Source organism: Homo sapiens, chromosome 5 (assembly GCF_000001405.40).
Source record: "Homo sapiens chromosome 5, GRCh38.p14 Primary Assembly".
Classification (NCBI taxonomy): Eukaryota; Metazoa; Chordata; class Mammalia; order Primates; family Hominidae; genus Homo; species Homo sapiens.
The window spans coordinates 32,940,598-32,962,467 of record NC_000005.10 but is presented as its reverse complement, the minus strand read 5'-3'; the positions used below and the strand labels follow the sequence as shown (position 1 = coordinate 32,962,467).

Genomic DNA, 21,870 nt, shown 5'->3' with positions numbered 1-21,870 from the left:
TTAGATAAAGAGAGACTTTACTCAAAAAGACTATTGCAATAGGAAGAACATGCCAACCTCAGATATCTGCAAATGTCTCAAAATCAAACAGAAATAAGCTTTTCCTTTGTATGGAGGGAGAAGAACCAGCCAGACCTTTGTGGAGGAGAAGGGCATAGAGTGTGGGCGAGCAGGTGGCAAAACCAGGATATCTCAATAGGGAGTGTTTTTTCCTATGGTCAGTTGATTTTCAGGATGAGCTGTTAACAGATGTTCTGCTCCTTAGTGTTTCAGTGCTTGCTTAAACTTGGGGGACAGCCAAAGTCTAGGAATCTTTGTGGAGGAGAGATACCTGACTAAAGTTTGGTCAAGCCAAAGCAGAGGGTAAGAAATGAACCGTCATGAACACGTGGTCAGTTCCCCTTGTTCCTTAAGACAAAGTGTGTTTTTAAACACCATTAGCGATGGAATAAGAGACATTGTGAAGCTGAGTTTGATCTGTCATTTTCAGGGGTGGGCTGGTCTTCATGTTCTTCTTCACCTGTATGACCAGCTGTCATGTTGTGAGCATGCTGTCTCTCTGACGCTGGTGGAGGGTCTTAGAGATCAGGCACTTAGCATAAGGTACACCTTGTGATGTTATCTGCTTGGTCCAAAGGTCTCGAGAAAGCTCTCTACCTCTCTGTTTGCAAGACCTACCTCCATCTATAATGGATTTGCTCCCTAGAAGTACTCAACATCTGTTGTTCCTGTAGCCCAAAGTGAATCAGAAATGTGAATGAGAATGTTTTGAATGTGGGAATTGTCAATGGCTTGGGAGGCTGTGGGAAAGGCAAGAAAACTTTCCCCAAATTAAGGATATCAACTTGGATATAGTACATGTGCCCCAGTTATCATGGCCAGGACTGATATGTGACTTCTTCCCCAAATTCTGGACAGTTCTTGCTCCACTTGAACTCTATTGTCCATTATTCTCCATGCTACTTTTGTGATGAAGAAAAGACAGGATAAAAACCTCAGCTGTGTTTGCAAAAAGGCTGGTTCTAACTAGTCTTCCTTGGCCAAGTGCCCTCTGATGTTGTAGTGAAGTCAAAGAGCATTTGTCTTCAAGATTCAATGGCCTATGAAAGTCAATAGTAAATAAGTTTAATTATGTCACACTGAAACTTTGTGAAATATAAGCTACTGGTTTTCAGAAAATTGACTCATTGAGAAATTCATAAGCTCACCAAATTCCACAGTCAACACAACCTCTTTCACCTTCTGCTCAAGCAGAGGAGGAGGGCATATGGAGACAGGTCTTGAGTGCAATTGGAAAACACAGTGAGTCATTTCTGCTTGTCCATTCCTATTTAAAAGAAAATATCATTTCAGTGATTTAATTTTCGGTACAAAACCTGGCTTAGTCCTAGAACTGTAAGTGCTTCCACACCCACTATTATTGAACCCATCATTAAGAGTCATTTATTTTTTTGTAATTGGAATTGCATGTTTGAGAGAGTAAACTAAAACCACCATGTGACCTGGCTGCTACCTTGTTGGGGCAGTTCTATCCCAGAAAGTGGTTACTTAAAGAATATTGTGATGACAATGGGTGAGATGATGTCCACACCCTGAGCCAGAGTTATTTTACAGACAGTCCCGTGGTAAGTGAATCACATGTTTATCTTCTGGGAAAATATGGATTCCATGTTTTTCTGTTTATGAAGAGAAAGAGGAAGAAAAGAAGCATTGTTGCCTAGAAAACTCTCTGCTGAGAAATGCCTAGTGGTAATGGTGTAATTTTGATGCCATGTGACAATTGGATTGAGAAACCTAATATTTCAGGCAGCATTGTAGAAGACAGTTAAGATAATTTATAGCTCATTCTGAGTGATGATCCAGCTTTGGGTTGTCCTGGTTCCTGGATTTTCTTCCTTCTCTTTCCAAAAGCCTGTTTAGGGACCATTTTATTGCTCATTAGCACCTCGCTAAGAGAGCTGGCATGAAACAATGGAGATGGAATTTGCATCATTCAACACATTTGTGTTTTTTGTATTCATAGAAGATTTTTGAAGAAAAGAGCACCAAAATAACTGTGAAATGAAGTTTGAAGACCTCTAGCAAGTTAAATAATGTATCCTGTCCTTACCCCATAGCAATTATAAGTGCATCGGTTTGACTGCCTTTATTGTAAGCACCTTTATTAGATTCCCAAAGCAAATCCCATAATGCCACAAACTATATCAGGGCCTCTGACATATAGACCTTTTCTAAGTGCTGGGGACTGGCCTGTGATAAACAGTTGATCACTTCTCCAGCCCTTATTTGTTCCTTTCTGATTTCATCCCTGTGGGGCTCTTCCAACATCAAGCTTCCAATTTGAGGGCATCCACAAAGCCAACTGACAAGTACAAGAATCAAATGCTATACTGTAACATTTATTCTTTTCAGTGTGATCACTTGGTGTTTGATTTGTTTTCTGGCTTGCCTTTGAGAGCCTTTGTTTTCTGGATTCTTGGTTATTTTACCCCTCCCAGTGACAAGCAGCACATGGCTTTGTTTCTCCATAATTTCCATAATCGACACCTCTGTTTGTGATGATGAAGCACATCCACTAAGCCTCTTGTGTAGAGCAACTTACTTTACTTTCTAGAAGTTGGGGGAGAGGTGAACAGATGCCCTGTTGTGTTTCATATTCAGAACTTATTGGTGACCCTGGGAGAGAACACATTGTGACTTTCTTTTGGAAATGTCAACGTCTTACATATATCAGATCAGAATTTGCCTTCTGTGCCAAATCCAACATAAACTTATCTCTTGGAAGGGAGATACTGCTCTTCTGGATGGACTGGAAACTCAATGGGAAAAGCTGTGACAGCAGCTGCCTCATCGCTAGACCTAACACTTATCCTCCCTTTGGTATCAGTGTGATTTGTAACCAAATTCAGTTAATGAAACTGGTATTCTTTGATTCCCCTTTAGTAGAAAGTGATGGGGGGCAGTTTTTACAATTACACCTGAGGCAAAATTTCAATGTGAATGTTCAGCCATGTGAAATGATTCAGAAGTGAACTTTCCAATTTGATGCTAATGTAAATCTATGGTGGCACTTTACATTTTCTTATTCCAAATTGCATATTATTAGCAAAGCAAAGGGGAAAAAATGAGATCCCTATTAGTACATTTGTCCTATGTTGAAGGGACCATAGAAGTTTCCATCACAGTTGTGGACTGAATTGCGTCCCCCTGAAATTCATATGTTGAAGCTTTAACACCCAATATGACTGTACTTGGAGATAAGACCTTTCGGGAGGTAATTAAAGTTAAATGAGTTCATAAGGATGGGACCCTAGTCCAGTATGACTGACGTCCTTGTAAGAAAGAAGAGAGACAGCAGAGAGGCACACATGCACAGAGAAAAGACCATGTGAGGGCACAGTGACCAGGGAACCATCTGCAAGCTGAAGAGAGAGGCCTCAGGAGAAATTCCTACCCAGCTGACAGCTTGATCTTGGCCTTCCAGCTTCTAGAACTGTGAGAAATAAATTTCTGTTGTTTAAGCCACCCGGCCTGTGGTATGTTGTTATGGCAGTCCTAGATAACTGATAAAATTGTCAAAAATGCCTTCTTGGGAAAAGGTGAGAAAGTCAAGCCTTTGAGCTGTTGGTTAAATTTATCTTTTGTGGATTCTATGGATTTAATTTGGTTGCTTTGAACAAAAATAATGTAGTCCTTTTATAAAAATAGTATCAGAGCAGCAATAGAAGAGTACAACTTTGAGTTCTCTAAGAGTTAAAATCAAGACTCACCAGATGGGTGGAGTAGGCTTTGATGTATTCAACATGTGAGGAACCTGGTGGAATGTTGGGCACGACGATTTCAACCAGAAACACCTAAAGAAGGAAATGTACTAGTGTCCTCATTGTGGTTGTGTTATGTTGATCATTCCATGAGCTATATCTTTCTCTTTCCTATCTGCATCTCCCAGATTTTCTTCAGTGTGCTGGCATATCTTTTATAATGGAAAACTAAAACATAATTGGCTTGAAAACTTTATATATGTGTGTCTATGTAATTAAATACATAACATTTTAAGCCAATTACTTTTTTATGTTTTATACATTTTATATGTTTTTATTATAAATATATGTAGAAACAATGTTGTCATGCCAGCTACAGTTAAACTGAGGAGGCTGGAATGTTTAATTGGGGATGGATTATGAGAAAAGAAGAAAGTGATTATTGAAGAAATGACGTGAGAGGAGATACGGAGGAAAGGGAATAGGGCATACTTGGGGAGAGTTTTATTGTGCCACTGATGTGGTGAGGATACATGTATTACGGAAAATAAGGCTGGAAAGACTAGAGACATCATTGAAGGCCACGAGGGCCACGTTAAGTACTTTGGACTTTATTGGGCAGGATCAATTAGAACACCATGGTATTAGCACACCATAGATGATAGCACAGTGGTGTACAGGCTTTGAGCAGAGAGACAGTAGTGCTGGAGAGACAGCTTAGGATGCTACAAAGTAATCCTTGAGAGAGTAGCTGTAGTTCCTGAAGAAAATGGCAGAGTGGATGGAGAAGAAAGCATGGATAAAAAAATGACATTATGTAAGTAGAATGGAGAGGATGTGGAGGTAGATTGGAAGTAATGGAGAAGGAAAAGTATAAAGTAATGACATTGCAAGGTTTCCAGCTTATAAGATGGTGAGAATGGTAACTTCGTGATCCCATGTAGTAAACCCAGGAGAAGAGACAGCAAATGTTTTGATTTTAGACACATTGAAGTTCTGATGTTTATCTCTATGGAAACACAAAGTGAGAGACAAGGAGAGCACTAGAACCAAAAGAATGATTCACCTTTCTAAGAGTGGGCGTATAAACTGATCATAAGAGAAAACCAAGGATGGGCCTCAGAGAAGACCACACTTAGAGGGCTGGATGTGGAAGAAAACAAGCAGCCACTGGGGAGAAAGAGCAGAAATAACACAGCTAGATGGAAACAAAGGTCTGAGACAATGTGATGACACAGAAAGTGTTAAGAAAAGCTTATTTAACTTACAAGAAAAAAACAACCCCATTAAAAAGTGGGCAAAGGACATGAACAGACACTTTTCAAAGAAGACATATATGCAGCCAACAATCATATGAAAAAAAGCTCAACATCGCTGATCATTAGAGCAATACAAATCAAAATCACAGTGAGATACCATCTCACACCTGTCAGAATGGCTATTACTTAAAAGTCAAAAAATAACAGATGCTGACATGGTTGTAGACAAAAGGAACATTTATACACTGTTGGTGGGAGTGTAAATTAGTTCAACCATTGTGGAAGACAGTGTGGCGAGTCCTCAAAGACCTAAAGACAGAAATACCATTTGACCCAGCAATCCCATTATAAGTTATATACCCAAAGGAATATAAATTGTCCTATTATAAAGACATATGCTTGCTGAGCGTGGTGGCTCACGCCTGTAATCCCAGCACTTTGGGAGCCTGAGGTTGGCGGATCACCTGAGGTCAGGAGTTTGAGACCAGCCTGGCCAACATGGTAAAACCCTATCTCTACTAAAAATACAAAAATAAGCCTGGTGTGGTGGCACACGCCTGTAGTCCCAGCTACTCAGGAGACTGAGGCAGGAGAATCGTTTGAACCTGGTAGGCAGAAGTTGCAGTGAGCCAAGACTGTGCCACTGCACTCCAGCCTGGGTGACAGGGGAAGACTCCATCTCAAAAAAATGTAAATAAATAAATACATACATAAAGATACACACACATGTATGTTCATTACAGCACTATTTACAACAGCAGAGACATGGAGTCAACCTAAATGCCCATCAATAATAAGAGTGGATAAAGAAAATGTGGTACCTATACACCATGGAATAGTATACAACCATAAAAAAGAATTAGATCATGTCTTTTGCAGGAACATGGTTGAAGCTGGAGGCCATTATCCTTAGCAAACTAACACAGAAACAGAAAACCAAACACCACATGTTCTCACTTACAAGTGAGAGCTAAATGATGAGAACACATGGACACATGGAGGGGAAACAACACACCCTGGGGCCTTTCAGAGGGTGGAGGGTGGTAGGAGGGAGAAGATCAGGAAAAACAAATAGGTAGTGGGTTTAATACCTGGGTGATGAAATAATCTGTACAACAAACCCCCATGACACAAGTTTACCTGTGTAACACACCTGCACATGTACCCCTGAACTTAAAATAAAAGTTAAAAAATAAAATTATGCTGCATAGGAAAAAAAAAAAAAGCTTGTTGTATGCTTGCCATGGTGTGAACATACTTGCTTCTGTGGCCTGAATGAATAAACAGGCTTTAGTAATCAGGGAAACCATTTTACTCCCAGAATCAACAATAGGATGGAGCCTTGCTGTCTAGGATAAGATGGTGCTGGCTATTCATCCTAAGGCCCTTCCTTCCTGCGTCTTGACCTATAAGCTGGCCTCCCTGAAGCTCTCTTATCTTCAACTTGTAGGGAGTATACTCCAGCTCAGAGAAAAACTGCTTCTCTCTTCCCTAGGCACCTCCTTCTGTTTCATTATCTCTTATCAGCTGTGACACAGTCCAAGGTTGTGATTCCAGACAGCAGTGGGCTTGGACATTCCCTCCACACTTTTAGCAAGTCAAGAGGTTATCCAAACAGCCAATGGGCAAAGAGAAGTATCTCTCAAATGGTAATACAAAAAAAATCAACAACTAAAATTGAGACTGCCCTGGCCACCCAAGAACTGTGCTGACTGATCTCACATTATATCCAGACCACTAACCTCAAATGGGCAATCCTACCACACATGCCTAGTTTATTCACCTTTCTGTTTTCCTAAGTTACTAGTTCACATCTTTTTTTCTACCCCCCAAAATTTCCTACTCCCTCACCTTTCCTATTATTCTCATTTGTAACATTTACAGACATCACAGAAGCAGTCACCATCAGCTTTCCACCATCATATCTAACAATTCATACCTGCATTCAGTTCCCAAACTGCAATTCTTCAGCCACGTTGAATTTACTATCATTGCTTTACCAAAATCTAGTCCCCCTCTACCTGGATCCCATACCCTCTCACCTGCTCAGTTGTTTCGTTTCTTGTATTATCCTTTCTCTGATGAGCACTCTCATTAGCACAGAAACACTGATATTTCCCATTAACTTTTCAGAACCCCAGCCCCACTGGTAAGAATAAGAGTATAATGTCTATTTCCTAAATATTTAGATTTTTCCACAAACTCTGTAACCCCCTTTCCTCTTCTTTCCTCCTTAAAGCCTTCTTGCCTCACATATGCTATTTTATTTTATTAGGCACGGTACAAAGAAAGACATAATTGTGAATTTAGTCCTCGTTTTGGCTAATTATTTTCTCATTGGCTTGTGGATACAACACTCTTTCTAAAAATTGGCCAGCTTTCTAGAAAATGCTACCAGAAGATGAGGAAGGATAAGTAGTGTCAATTCTCCATTTATTAACAACAATTTGAAGCGTATTAGCTAAAACCAGATTTATTTTAAGACGAGTGAATCTTGGAAAAAAATCAAAAAGATTGTTTAAATGGTAAGAAAATTACACCTATATTTATCTCCAGGCTTAGTAAGCCTGGAGATTTTTTTAAAGCTGAAGAATGACTTAAGAATGTCCTTTTTTGAGTAGAATTATTCATATGACAATGATTAACTGATTATCAATTCCATTAGTAATGAAGAAAAAATGGGTGTTAATAGAACCTGGAGCATTAGTACATATCTTAATTTTTAGGGATTGAAATGCATTACCCAATAAGTTTTAGCATTCTCTGCCTTAGAGTAGATATTTTCATATAAAACATAACTGCCTCATTAGAATGGCTGTTCTTGAAGTCAGAGGAAGGTAACAGATTCTCTCTCCGAGACTCTTTTACCTCTATGATTCTGAAATGTTTTGTGCTACCATATCGGAGTTATTTTTCCTTCAGTCAAATGAGTTTTTTCTGTTCCCCAAGCTGTGATGAACTCTCAAGAAGCAGGTACATTAACATTTCTAATCCAAACATTTGAAATCCAAAATGCCGAGGTAGTGACGCCTTTGCTTTCCAATGGGTCAGTGTGCTCAAACTTTGTTTCATACACAAAATTATTTAAAATATTACATAAAATCACCTTTAGGCTATATGTATAGGGTGTATATGAAGCATACATGAATTTTGTGTTTAGATTTGGGTCCCATTCCCAAGTATATATATTCAAGTATTCCAAAATTCAAGAAAAATCCAAAATCTGAAATATTTCTGATCCCAAGCATTTCAGATAAAGCATGCTCTACCTGCAGCAAAAATGGAATTAAACGACTTCCAGCTCTCCGTGTCCTTTGTCTGCTCACCTGAGCAGGTCCTTCTGTGAATGGAATTCTCCTCACACAACCACAAGGAATTTTGCCTCTTTTGTTTCTATTCCTTCTCTTTTATGAGACAAAGTGACAGAAGCCATCCAGGTTTAACTATTTTTAACATTTTTACAACTTTGTGCATTCTTGTGTAACTGGCAAATACCATGAAATGGTATTAATTACCACACAGAGGAAACCTTCAACTCACAATGGATTTTACTGTTCAATGGTCATGAATGCAAAGAGTGCATTTGACCTTTAATTCTTCTGCTCCCAGCCTTAGTTAGTGGCCACAGGAATCCAGGATCAATGTTATGTCCATGAACACGACAGCATAGACTTTGACAGGAACTCCAATTTAAGTTTGTGCTTCTGTCATGCTCCTAGCAGATGTGAGCCTTTTTGCTATATAATTTATGTGATTACTTTTTAAACTACAATGCAGAAAAAACTGCATACCTGGTAAGATGCACTAACCATGACAGAGCTATAACACACTATGTGCTACAGAAGAAAACCAGTAAATTGCCTGGATAATTTGGGCAAAAAAAGAAAAAAAATCCATATTTACATGAAATAGCTTAGTAATTCTAATTTAGTACTTTGGGGCCTTTAATATCTAGATGATGGTACTTCTGCTTAATGCCTTCTGGATCTGAATGATGTCTTCAGTGGAGGACATTTTTCACCAAATTTTTTAATCATGAAGGTGATTTTTAAAAAATTGTAAATAACTGAAATCATTTGGAGTGATATCTAATAAGTAAAACAGCTTATCACATTTTATTTCACATTTCTGAGACTGAATCAAGGTGTAACATTAAACTAAAAATGTTGATTGTCTTAGCTGGCTCATAGCAGTCCCTGGGGGGCAGTTGAGTGATGGCTGCTCTTCTGCTGGAATACGGGTTGCTGGAATGAGGGTGCTATTTTGAAGGGCAATACTATTGATATGTTTAGGTTTTGTTTTAGAATAAAAAAAGTTTTATTTCCCTTCTTCTCAGTCATACCTCTTCTTAAAAGTAGTTCCCTTTTTTTAAAAGAATTTCTCTAGCATCTCTTGCAGTCTCTCAAGCCTCTTGTAGTGTCACAAAGCCAAAGCCACTAGTGTCAACAAAAGAGTCAAACCCTGCAAAACATTTGAAGAGATTTATTCTGAGCCAAAGAGTGACTATGGCCCGTGACACAGCCTTCAGAAGGTCCTGAGAACTTGTGCCCAAGGTGGTCGGGGTGCAGCTTGGTTTTATGCATTTTGGAGAGGCAAGAGACATCAATCAAATACATTTAAGAAATACATTAGTTTGGTCCAGAAAAGCAAGACAACTCAAAGGGTGTAGGGGGTGGGAGGGGGGCTTCCAGGCTATAGGTAAATTTAAACCTTTTCTGACAATTGATGGAGTTTGTCTAAAAACCTGGGATCCGTAGAAAGGAAATATTCAGGTTAAGAAGATTGTGGACACAAGGTTTTTTTGAGGTCTTATAGTGGCTGCCGTTAGAGACAATAGATGACAGATGTTTCCTATTCAGGTCTTTAAAAGGTGCTAGACTTTCAGTTAATCTCTTTAGGATTGGGAGGGCCTGAAAGAAAAAGATCTAGCTATGTTAATAGGGATTCTTTACAGATGCAAATTTTCCCCCACAAAGGGCAGCTTTGCAGGGCCATTTCAAGATATGGCAAAGAAATATGTTTTGGAGTAAAATATTTTTATTTTCTTCCTTGTAATGTTATTGATACAGGAGTTAGAAATTACTTAGGCAGATAACGAGGGTACAGAAGTCCTCAGTAAGGTTTTCCTTTTAATGAAAAGCAGCCCCAAATCATTTTCCTTTCTAACAAAGGGCAGCCTGTAAAATTGAGCTGCAGAACTAGATGCCGGTAGTTGTGCCAATCATGTTCAAAATGGCAGTTCCATCTTCCCTTCTCTGCCAGCCAGGTGTATAGTAAGGAGCAGACAAGATGGCACTGGCCAAGGGGCCTTTTGCATAATATGATTAGGGTGGGATGACCAGCCTTCCCCGTGCAGCATGTAAATGGCACACCTGGCCAAACCAATCTGTGGACCCTATGTAAATCAGACACCACCTCCTCAAGCCTGCCTATAAAATCTGCTGTGTTGGCCACTTTTCCCTTTTTTGTCAGAAACCTCTCTCTCAAGAGAGAGAGCTGCTCTGCTGTCTCCTTTCTTCTGCCTATTAAACTCTGCTCCTTAACCCACTCTGTGTGTGTGTGTCCATGTCCTTAATTTTCTTGGCATGAGACAACAAACCCCAGGTATTCAACCCCAGACAACAATGTCACTTCATTATGCCAGAGTCAGGTAGGAAAGTAAGTCATGATATATCAGGTTAAATAAAACCCACCTAATGAGAATTTATGGTTTGTAGGGCATGACTTCCCAGACCCCTTAGCTAGGAATTTGGGCAAGATAAAAAAAATCAGAACTTAGTCCTCATTAAAATTCAGAGTTCTGTATGCAGGAAGGGACAGTATAACTCTCCTGGCCTCAGCTTGTCAGATAGCCATCAAGTGTCATGTCCTTTGCCCCAGCTGCCCTCAGCATGTCATCCTAATGCCAGCCTTGTCACCAAGTGAAGTGTTCAAGCTACACAGCTTGGGAGAGGGGTCCACCTGGTGCATTTTAAGAAGCAGTGGTGAGAGTTAAATCTCGAATAGTTGATGATGTCTCTCTGGAAGCATCCATTTAACATTCCATGTTACTGGAATTTCCAAGAAGACAGAATTACATTTATATTAATACTATGCTTCATGAGATATTAAATTTTTTCTTGGTGTAGAGGAGACTGCCAGTGTTCTGCCTGCTATTGCTGTGTGACCCTCCCCTGGCTTCTGTGTGCTCTTGCTTCCAAAGCTCACACCAATTTTCTTGGAGGGCTACCAAAGTGCTCCTGGGCCTCAGCCCACACAAGGACAGACCTGAAAGTCCCCAGGCAACTCTCAACAAGTGACTGACTGGTGCAGAAATATGAGGCACAGCTTTCTTGCCCTGGGGTCAAGACAAACTCTGAGAAGATAGGCACAAAATGGGAGCCAAGGAATGCTAATTTCTCTTTGTCACTTATCAGCCCAACACTAATGACCCTACATAGCTCATTTTAAAAAATCCCCTATAATCTATTACATAAAGTTTTACTCAGATTTATATGAATGCTTTACTCAGATTTATGTCAGTCAGTCAATAACTTGCATTGAGGATTCCATGTAGACAGAATACTGTGCTTATATTTAGATTCTATAAAGGATACATGAACATGTGTCCTGAGGCATATATAGTTACCAATATATTCTGTTTGTTCTTCTCTGGTTGATGAGGGAAGTGTCTCATTCCTATGAATTCCATTCAACTTTACAGTGCATTACAATGCATATGCCTATGAAAAATTATCAATGGCATTTGGAAATACAAGGTCCAGAGTTGAGATCATAGCCAGAGAATAGAGAAGGGTTTGCTTGCTAAACAGGTCATAGGAGGGGAGTGAGAAAGGAGTCTTAGGGAAGGCTCTCCATTAGGAGACTCAAGGTTGAAGATTACCCAGAGATTAAAACAGAGCAGGTAGGAAGACCTACTACCTAGGAAAACATAGTGTCACAGAAGATAAAAAGAAGTGCTTTGAGAAAGATGCAACAAGAAACTGCCTCTTCATGAGCAAATTCAATCTTATCCGTCCTCCTTCACATTACTAGGGCTGCCCCACACACCACTCCTGTTGCTGCTGCATCTCCCAGGGGACTTGTGTGTTTCTGATTTTATCTTTGTACCTAACACTCTATTTCCATGACATTGTATTTGATAGTAGGGAACATCATCATCACCTTTTCTGAAGTTAGTTTGGCAGGTAGTCTTCTCTTGCAAATATTATCACAAGCTCTACTGAGCTTCATGGGCCCCTCGTTCCTCCTTACTTTGGCTAGTTGTTTCTTGATATCTGAATACTGAACAACAGCATCCACTGTAGCAGCAATAGCCAACAAATGCACAAGCTAAGTAAAAAGAAAAGCAAAATGAATTTCCAAAAAACGGAGGTATTTAATATAAATTTAAAAACATATTCAATATCATAGGGGTTTTCACCATTGATTTCAGCCAAATGGGCAGGAACATTTTCAAGTTCAATTATTTCTGGGCTCCTATATTCCTGTCCTGTAGTGGCCTTAAGAAATGTTCACATTTGCAAGCTGCACCAGACACCATCAGATCTGGTTCTCTCCCTGGGGCCCAAGGATGCTCTTCTTTTTCATCTTTTATTTTGATCATGGAGGTGTTTTCACAGAGTTTATCCCCAGTAGTAAATTACATTCCAATTCTGTGAGTCAGAACAACGTTTTAACATGCACACCAACGTCCGGGTTGCTGTTTTGCTACCAGTTTTGCCTGGGGTGCAGGTATTTTTGGAGATGGGTCTAAAACATCTCAAAACCACATGAACATAGAACAATGAGAACTGGTGATTATTAAAAGATGGTTTTCTTGGCTTTGATGAATTTTCACCACCCAAAAGATGACAGTCTTTTACTATTTTCACTTAACAACAAGAAGAAACAGACCTAAGTACAAGCATTTAAATTAAAAGGAAGAAAATCCCAACAACGCTGACATATGGTATACATTGGAAGTGGTTCCAAAAGCTGAGTGTGAAACGTTCTTCTAGGAAGATGTTAGAAATTGAACAAATTTGCACCAGTCTAGGAGGGTTTGGGTAAAGAGAGGTTCAGCAACCTCTATGTCCCTTCTCACCTGTGCAATTCACAATAATAATGAATCACTACGAGCTTCAAAGTCACAGTCTTTAGCTATCCAAAGTAATTCATGGAAAAGCATTTACAACAGTGTAGGCACTGCTTTTTCGTAGTACACAAATGGCGTAGTGGTTTTGGTTGGCATTGAAAGGAATTCTGGATTTTATAAAAATTGAAGTAAAACAGGTGAAAAATATTATCTGGAATATGTATAACAATTTATTTGCAATCTCAGATAAAAGTTATGTGATATTGTCACCTCAATTAGCCTCATATATCTTCAAGCAGCTCTGTTTTCACATTCAGTAAATAGTTATTGAGCCTGTAATTCAGGACTCTGTGCTAGGCGTTGGAGATGCAGTGATGAATGAAGTAAAGCATCTACCCCCATGAAGCTTATAATCTTCTGGAAATAGACTTTAAAGAAGCAAACAAACAGATAAATTACAAATTGCAAAATACGGGAAGATAATAAACAAGACATCATGATAGAGAATTACAGTGAAGATTTACAGTAATCAGAAACAGTCTCCTAAGTCATTTCTTGGTTATACAAAAGGAGCCAACATGTTATTTTAATGTAATATATTAAATTCAACTACATGAAATTGCCGTCATTTGGCCATATTTAAGCTAAAAAATGGCAATTTCGATGGGCAACCTAACAAAAAGAAACTATGCATTTATATTTAACTAGTCAATTTGGAAAAATTCATTTATAAAAAATAGCGTAACTCACATTCTCTAGACATGCACATGCAAACAAATAAACATGTTTAGTGTCTTTCTGTTTTTTCTAAAAACCTGAAAACTGGCAAAAGCTGGGACAGAGAACAAGTTTGAGGCAGGGCAGATTTTTATTGCTGTATCCGGGATGAGAAAACTGAGACCCAGAGACCTTAAGTGACTTTTCAGGAATCCCTCAGTGATGTTGCAAGTATTTTAAACTAGCGCTAATAGCTGCTTATCTATTATGCGTCTCATTATTTAATTGACTCTACTTCACAATGAAATTTGTTGTTTTTCCCTGTCCCTGTTTTTTTATATTTTGTCAAAAGATGGCCTTGCCCAGTTGTGGCTGAGACTGCTATGTGTTAGTCAAGTTCCAAATTTCCTTTTCCTCGAGGACACAGCTAGACTACATTTCACAGCCTCCCTTGCAATGAGGCACATGCATTCACCTAAGCTCTGGTAATGGTTGCCTCTTCCCATCTTCAAAGCCATCGATGGCCAGTCACATCTTTTTTATATCACATCACTCTGACACTGACTCTTCCACTTTCCTTGGCCACGTGAATGGTCTTGCGATTACACGGGGCTCATCGGGCTGATCTAGCATAATCTCCTGGTCTTAAAGGTCATCTTAATTAGAAATCTTAATACCATCTGCAAGCTTAATTCTTATTTGCCATGTATCCTAACATAATCACAGATTCGGGGGATTAAGACATAGACCAGACAGCTTTGGGGGTCCTTTATTCTGGCTACTCTCCAAGGGTACCTAAAATGTTGCTTTAAAATGAGGCACATGCATTCACCTAAGCTCTGGTAATGGAATGGAGTTGGAAGTGATGTGTCCTCTCCAGGCCAGGCTCGTGAAATCCTTCTACATAATCCTCCACACATTCTCTCCTTCTGCATCTGCTGGAAGGAGAAAGGATTTTAAGGTCTTGGAAGAAGTCGGAGCCACAGGATGGAAGAAGACTGGACTTGGAATGACTATATGGAAAGTGACTAGAGCAGAAACAAACATCTGTCTGAATTCTCCGGGGCAAATAGTACATTCTAATTATATTAAGCCATAAGATTTTTAGAGATTTTTGTTATGGTAGCGAATATCACTTGCCTTAACTAATACCATGACATTGTTTTTTTGTTTTTTGGGGTTTTTTTTTGTTTATTCAGATGGAGTCTCGCTTTGTCGCCCAGGCTGGAGTGCAGTGGCACAGTCTCGGCTCACTGCAAGCTCTACCTCCCGGGTTCACGCCATTCTCCTGCCTCAGCCTCCTGAGTTGCTGGGACTATAGGCGCCTGCCACCATGCCCGGCTAAATTTTTTGTATTTTCAGTAGAGACAGGGTTTCACTGTGTTAGCCAGGATGGTCTCGATCTCCTAATCTCATGATCCACCCTCCTCGGCCTCCCAAAGTGCTGGGATTACAGGCGTGAGCCACTGCGCCTGGCCGACATTGTTATTTTTAAGTGGCTTTTTGTTAGTATTCTGTAGGCATAGCCTGAGTTAGAAGATATGTTACTTTTTTGTGGATGCTGTAACGAATTGCCACAAACTTGGTGGCTTAAAATCACACAAATTTATTATCTTGCAGTTCTGCAAGTCAGAAGTCCAACATGGCTCTCACTAAGCTAAAATTCAGATGTCCTTTCTGGAGGCTCTAGAGGAGAATCTGTTTTCCTCCCTTTCCCAGCCTTCCTAGAGGCTGCCCACATTTCTTGGCTCGTTGCCTCTTCCCATCTTCAAAGCCATCGATGGCCAGTCACATCTTTTTTATATCACATCACTCTGACACTGACTCTTCCACTTTCCTTGGCCACGTGAATGGTCTTGTGATTACACGGGGCTCATCGGGCTGATCTAGCATAATCTCCCGGTCTTAAAGGTCATCTTAATTAGAGATCTTAATACCATCTGCAAGCTTAATGCTTATTTGCCATGTATCCTAACATAATCACAGATTCGGGGGATTAAGACACAGACCAGACAGCTTTGGGGGTCCTTTATTCTGGCTACTCTCCAAGGGTACCTAAAATGTTGCTTTAAGATACAACATAAAGGTGGAATCTAACCTTAAACTTAAACTGAGGATGAACATGTTCACCCAGATCTTCATTATATTTTGATATCTCTCAGGATAAAATTAGTGTGCCTGTTAGAAATACTAAAATGATACTTGCTACCAAATGGCTCTTTAAATAATTAAGAGTATATATACCTAACATCACATAATCATTATTTAATTTGTACATTCTTTAGAGTTCATATTTTTCCAGGGTAGAACATGACCAAATTTATACCACAATTCAGGATAATCTCACCAGGTGGGAAAAATTAGGAAAAGTAATGGTGCAAACATTTTTTTTGTCAGGTAAACATTATTCAGAGAGTCAGTCTTTGCATCTTTTTAGGATCCTCAATTAGAAAGAACTTCTACTAGAGTTCATGTCCTTTGTAGGGACACGGATGAAACTGGAAACCATCATTCTCAGCAAACTATCGCAAGGACAAGAGACCAAACACCGCATGTTCTGACTCATAGGTGGGAATTGAACAATGAGAACACATGGATACAGGAAGGGGAACATCACACTTCGGGGACTGTTGTGGGGTGGGGGGAGGGGGGAGGGATAGCACTGGGAGATATACCTAATGCTAAATGACGAGTTGATGGGTGCAGCACACCAACATGGCACATGTATACATATGTAACAAACCTGCACATTGTGCACATGTATCCTAAATCTTAAAGCATAATCATAATAAAATTAAATTAAAATAAAATAAATCAAAAAAAAAAAGAAGAAAGAACTTCTACTATGTGTAGGGCCGGGTGTGGTGGCTCACGCCTGTAATCCCAGCACTTTGGGAGGCCAAGGTGGGTGGATCATTAGGTCAGGAGTTCGAGACCAGCCTGGCCAAGATGGTGAAACCCCGTCTCTACTAAAAATACAAAAATTAGCCAGGCGTGGTGGCACACGCCTGTAGTCCCAGCTACTTGGGAGGCTGAGGCAGGAGAATCACTTGAACCTGGGAGGCAGAGGTTGTGGTGAGCCGAGATTGTGCCATTGCACTCCAGCCTGGGTGACAAGAGCGAAACTCCGTCTAAAAAAAAAAAGAAAGAAAGAACTTCTACTATGTGTGTATGCATACACACAATCATACATGTGCACGCATTCACACATGAGGAACACAACCACCCTTTCCCCCAGAAAAAAACAGAGGTTGAGGAAGAAAAAACAAGACTTGAACTGAAGTTATAATGAGAAAAGACACTGTAAAAATAACATTGTGGCTTCTGTGGGATCCCATATTTATCCTCTCAGATGCTTCCAGAGCAAACATAGTCCATTTATAAATGAAAGGAGGATTTTGCTGTCAACCTAGAAGTTTCACCTGAGATCTGGGGAAAGAAAGCCCCACCCTCGCTCTTTTAGTCTCTTACCTCATTGCCCGGGAGCAAACACCCCCCACGCATAAAACTCAGTCTTGGTCTCTGAAAATGTAGGCATAGGCATCTCTGCTTAGCTTTGCAGTAGATAAAACAAAAGCAGTTAATATGTAAATCTCCTCAAGAGAGATGGTTTCAATATAGTTTTGTAACATCAACAATTATATCTGAAATGAGGTTTCTCTTGAATCAAAGATCATATCTTCCTGTACTCTAGTCTTAGGATAGAGTACAGAGACTCTACCTGTTATTCAAAAGTTGCCTGGGCACCACAGGAGAGGTGAAAAGGAAAAATCTGTGGTTAGGAAGGAGATGTGCCCCCTTCTGAGGGGTCAAGAATATCCTGAGGGGTCAAGAATACAATGAAGGCCAGATGCAGTGGTTCACGTCTGCAATCCCAGCACTTTGGGAGGCCGAAGCAGGTGGATCACTTGAGCCCAGGAGTTCAAGACCAGCCTGGGCACTATGTTGAAACCCCGTCTCTACAAAAATACAAAAACAAAAACAAAACACAGCAGGGCATGGAGGCGCACACCTGTGGTCCCAGCTACCCAGGAGGCTGAGGTGGGAGGCTCACTTGAGCCCAGGAAATTGAGGCTGCAATGAGCACTTGAGCCCAGGAGTTCGAGACCAGCCTGGGCACTATGCTGAAACCCTGTCTCTACAAAAATTAAAAAAAAAAAAAAACAAAAAAACACAGCAGAGCATAGAGACACATGCCTGTGGTCCCAGCTACCCAGAAGGCTGAGGTGGGAGGATCACTTGAGCCCAGGAGGTTAAGGCTGCAGTGAGCAGTGATGGCACCACTATACTCACTCAGCCTGAGCAACAGAGTGAGACTTCATCTCAAAAATTAAAAAAATTTTTAAAAATGTTTTTAAACTGTCCAAAAAGATTAAATATAAATATATATTTTTCTTCATATATATCTATATATATAAAACAATAGAAAGAGAAGAGGGTTACTAATCAGGCAGGGATGGATTTGAATCCTGACTTCACTGTACTTAACTTAGTATCATACCATGAACAAATTCCACAAACCCTGTGAACCTGGGATTTTTCATCTTTAAGAGGGTGATAATCATTCCTACTTTCAAAAGAAGACTTCTATGATGACTAAATGAGAGTATGTTTGTGAAAGGTCCTAACCTAGAACTTGCCTCATGAGAAGTACTTAGGAACATTTCAGTACACACACACAGCTCGTCCGATAGGCCTGGGCATATGTGCCCTCAAATCTATTCCTCACCCCTACCCTGTTTTTTCTTTCTATCACAAAGGGCATAGCCTCCTGCAGGCTACTTTCCCCATACTCCCATATTGCCTGGCTTCTGGCTGGGTTTCACCCATGGGAAATATTTGTGGGAATTAGAAGGCAGGGGTTATAGGGACAACCCAAGGTATTTTATTCCCCTTTTCCTGCCCCCAGCCTTTAGTGGTTGCTCTGGTAGCAGCTACATTTTCTTTACGTCCCTTCTAGCAGACAGACCCACGACAATTCCAGCTTTGGTCAAGTGGTCTCAGTCCCTTAGGCATGGTGAGTGCCACTTCCTTCCAGCTGACGGATGATAATGCCTGGCCTCGGGGTTCACTCACTGAAGCTTATGCAGCCTGGTTTGGCTCTCTACTTCTCCATCACTTGTGTAACTAGTTCCCTTCATCAGAATCCCTGTTTTAGATGCTGAAGGTAGTTTTGGTGTTTCTGGTTTTCTGGTTAGATCCCAACTAATACAGTTCTTTTCCTCTTTCCTTGGCAGTGAGAGCAGAGGGAGCAATATAAAGATTGGGAAACAGCCTGCCTCAGATTTACTGAATCCCAGCAGACTTTGCTGTAGTTACCTCCCTATTCTTTAGCTCTTCGGTCTTCCGGTCTTAGCTTTGACTTAAACATCACTTGCTCCCTCTAAGTGATCAATATGATCCAATGATCTATAGAGAAGGAAAGTACCAAGAAGCATATACCACTACCAAAGTGAGTGGTTTGAAGGGTACCATGGGTCTCTTCAAATAGAAGAGCCAGTTAGTTTAGTTGTTCATCATCCTAAAGATTAGAAAGCAGGGCTTTCCAGCAGGTAAAATAACTAACAATGGGCTAGAAGTGTTCTGATGTGCAAAGTAGGTGGACAAGATGGGCAGTATTAGTGCCTTGGGAGAAACCACTTGAGGGACCTTTTATTCACTTCACTCAGATGTCCGCACAAGTGACACCTCAGAGAAGCCTGACCACCCCGTCTAGAGTAGTACCATCATCACCATTGCTAATCTCTTTTCTGTCACTTCAAAGCACTTGTGAATATCTACATTTATTCCTTTATCATTTGTTGCCTTCTCTAGCAATGGAAGCCTCAGGAGGTCAAGAGCTTTATTTATAATTTGTCACTAAAAGTCAAGAACTTAGCACTGTATCTGACACTCGCAGTAGACACTCAGAAAATATGTACTGAGTGAATGACTGAATGTGACAGGGTGCCTTGTGTATGGACGTGCCTTCTCCAGGCTACACATGCCCTATCTCAGGCAAAGGTATTACCAACTTCTACCTGCAAATCCCAAATTAACCACCAGGAGGCCCTTCTATGCCTTAACAGAAAGCATGCAATCACCTGGTTTCAAGCAATGGGTTATTGTCACTTCTGAGAATCTCTTTTTCTTCTTCTTCTTCTCCTTCTCCTTCTCCTTCTTCTTCTTCTTTTCTTCTTCTTCTTCTTCTTTCTTTTTCTCCTTCTCCTTCTTCTCCTTCTTCTTTCTTCTTCTTCCTTCTTCTTCCTCTTCGTCTTCTTTTCTTCTGCCTCTTCCTTTTCCTCCTCCTCTTCCTCTTCCTCCTCCTCCCTTCTCCTTCTCCTTCTTCTTCTTCTCCCCCTCGTCCTCCTCCTTCTTCTTCTTCTTATAGCCTTATTGAGATATACTGCATATACCATGAAATTCACCCTTTTAAAGTACACAATTCATCAGTTTTTAGATATTAGCAGAGTTGTGCAACTATCACCATTATCTAATTCAGAAGATTTTCGTCATCCCAAGAAGAAACTGCATAGCCATTAGCAGTCACTCCCCCACTCCTACCCCAGTACCTAGAAACCACTAATCTACTTTCTGTGTCTATAAATGTGCCTATTCTTCACATTTCATACAAATGGAATAGTATATTATGTAACCTTTTGTGACTGTGTTCTTGCGCTCAGCATAATATTTTCAAGATCTGTCCATGTTACTGCAGGTACCAGCATTTCTTCCCTTTTTATTGCCAAATACTTTACTGTATGGATATACCCTATTCTTCCTTTCATCAGTTGCTGGAAATCTGGGTTGTTTCCATTTTTTGGCCATCATGAATAATGCTGCTATGAAAATTTGTACACAAGTTTTTGTGTGGACATATATTTTCTTGTATCCCCCCAGCTTTATTAAGATATAATTGGCAAATAAAAATTGTATATGTTTATGATATACAATGTGATACTTCGCTGTTTACTTATCTGAGTTTATCTTGTTTTGTCTCTTCTTTTTTTTTTTTTTTTTTAAGAAAGAATCTTACTCTGTTGCCCAGGCTGGAGTGTAGTGGTGCAATCTTGGCTCACTGCAACTTCTGCCTCCCGGGTTAAAGCAATTCTCATGCCTCAGCCTCCCGAGTAGCTGGGACTACAGCTAATTTTTGTATTTTTAGTAGAGGCAGGGTTTTACCATGTTGGCCAGGCTGGTCTCGAACTCCTGACCTCAACTGATCCATCTGCCTCAGCCTCCCACAATGCTGGGATTACAGGTGTGAGCCACTGCACCTGGCCTTGATTTTGCCTCTTTAATCCTTATTGGTTTTTGCTTTCTGAATATCTACCTGGACCTTTTCTTCTATTCCTTGCTCATGTATTTGCATGAATACCTAGCTAGCCTCTGACTCCATCTTTTAAACTAGCTACAAACTCACGTGTATGTCTTGGCTTCTCACTATTGACCTAACTGCTACTGACACCTTAGACTCCCAGTTCCTGGTTCTCTTTTCTTATGTATATCCATGTTCCATGTGTCCCAGCACTCACATGTTAAAATAACAGAAAGAGAAGACATAGAGGAAAAAATAGGATATACTGAAAATGGAACATTTTCTGCTCTACTATTTTGTCCTGGGTTGGACTTAACCAAGAGCACCTTGAGTTTCGACTTGTTTGAGCTGATGACTGAATATATAACCTTGAGGAAAGTTATTTGACCTTGAAGTCCAGCTTTCCCCAAGGTAACTATGCTATAAAGCAGAAAGCTAATGCAGAGCTGCACATTGCCAGAGGAGCTCCAATGCTGGGCTGATAAATAATAAGTAGAATTAGTCCTGCTAATCCCTAGTTGCTGCAGGCTTCTGTGCTAAGTTCATAATGTTGAAGTAACACCTTTTCAATTCCTTACATAACAGTATTTTGTGCTTTGGAACAGCCTCACTGACCTCCCTGTCTTACTTAGATAGCAGTGGTGGAATGGAGAATATTTGGCCTGGGAGTTAAGAAAGTTGGATTCCAGTTTCAAGCCTACCACTCATTAGCTATGTGACTGGACATTTCACCTCTTAGGACCTTCCTGTTCTCATTTC

The 21,870-nt window shown here is 40.2% G+C and overlaps 1 long non-coding RNA gene across 1 annotated transcript; it reads right to left on the bottom strand.

Annotated features, from left to right (window-relative positions):
• LINC02120 (long intergenic non-protein coding RNA 2120) lies at positions 1–15,025 on the bottom strand. The gene is made up of 6 exons (NR_033832.1): positions 14,647–15,025; positions 13,368–13,525; positions 12,185–12,352; positions 3,771–3,854; positions 1,209–1,327; positions 1–1,100 (listed from the first exon to the last, which is right to left on the bottom strand). It is a non-coding gene; the product is annotated as a long intergenic non-protein coding RNA 2120 (long non-coding RNA).
• Between the last annotated feature and the right edge of the window lie 6,845 nt (positions 15,026–21,870).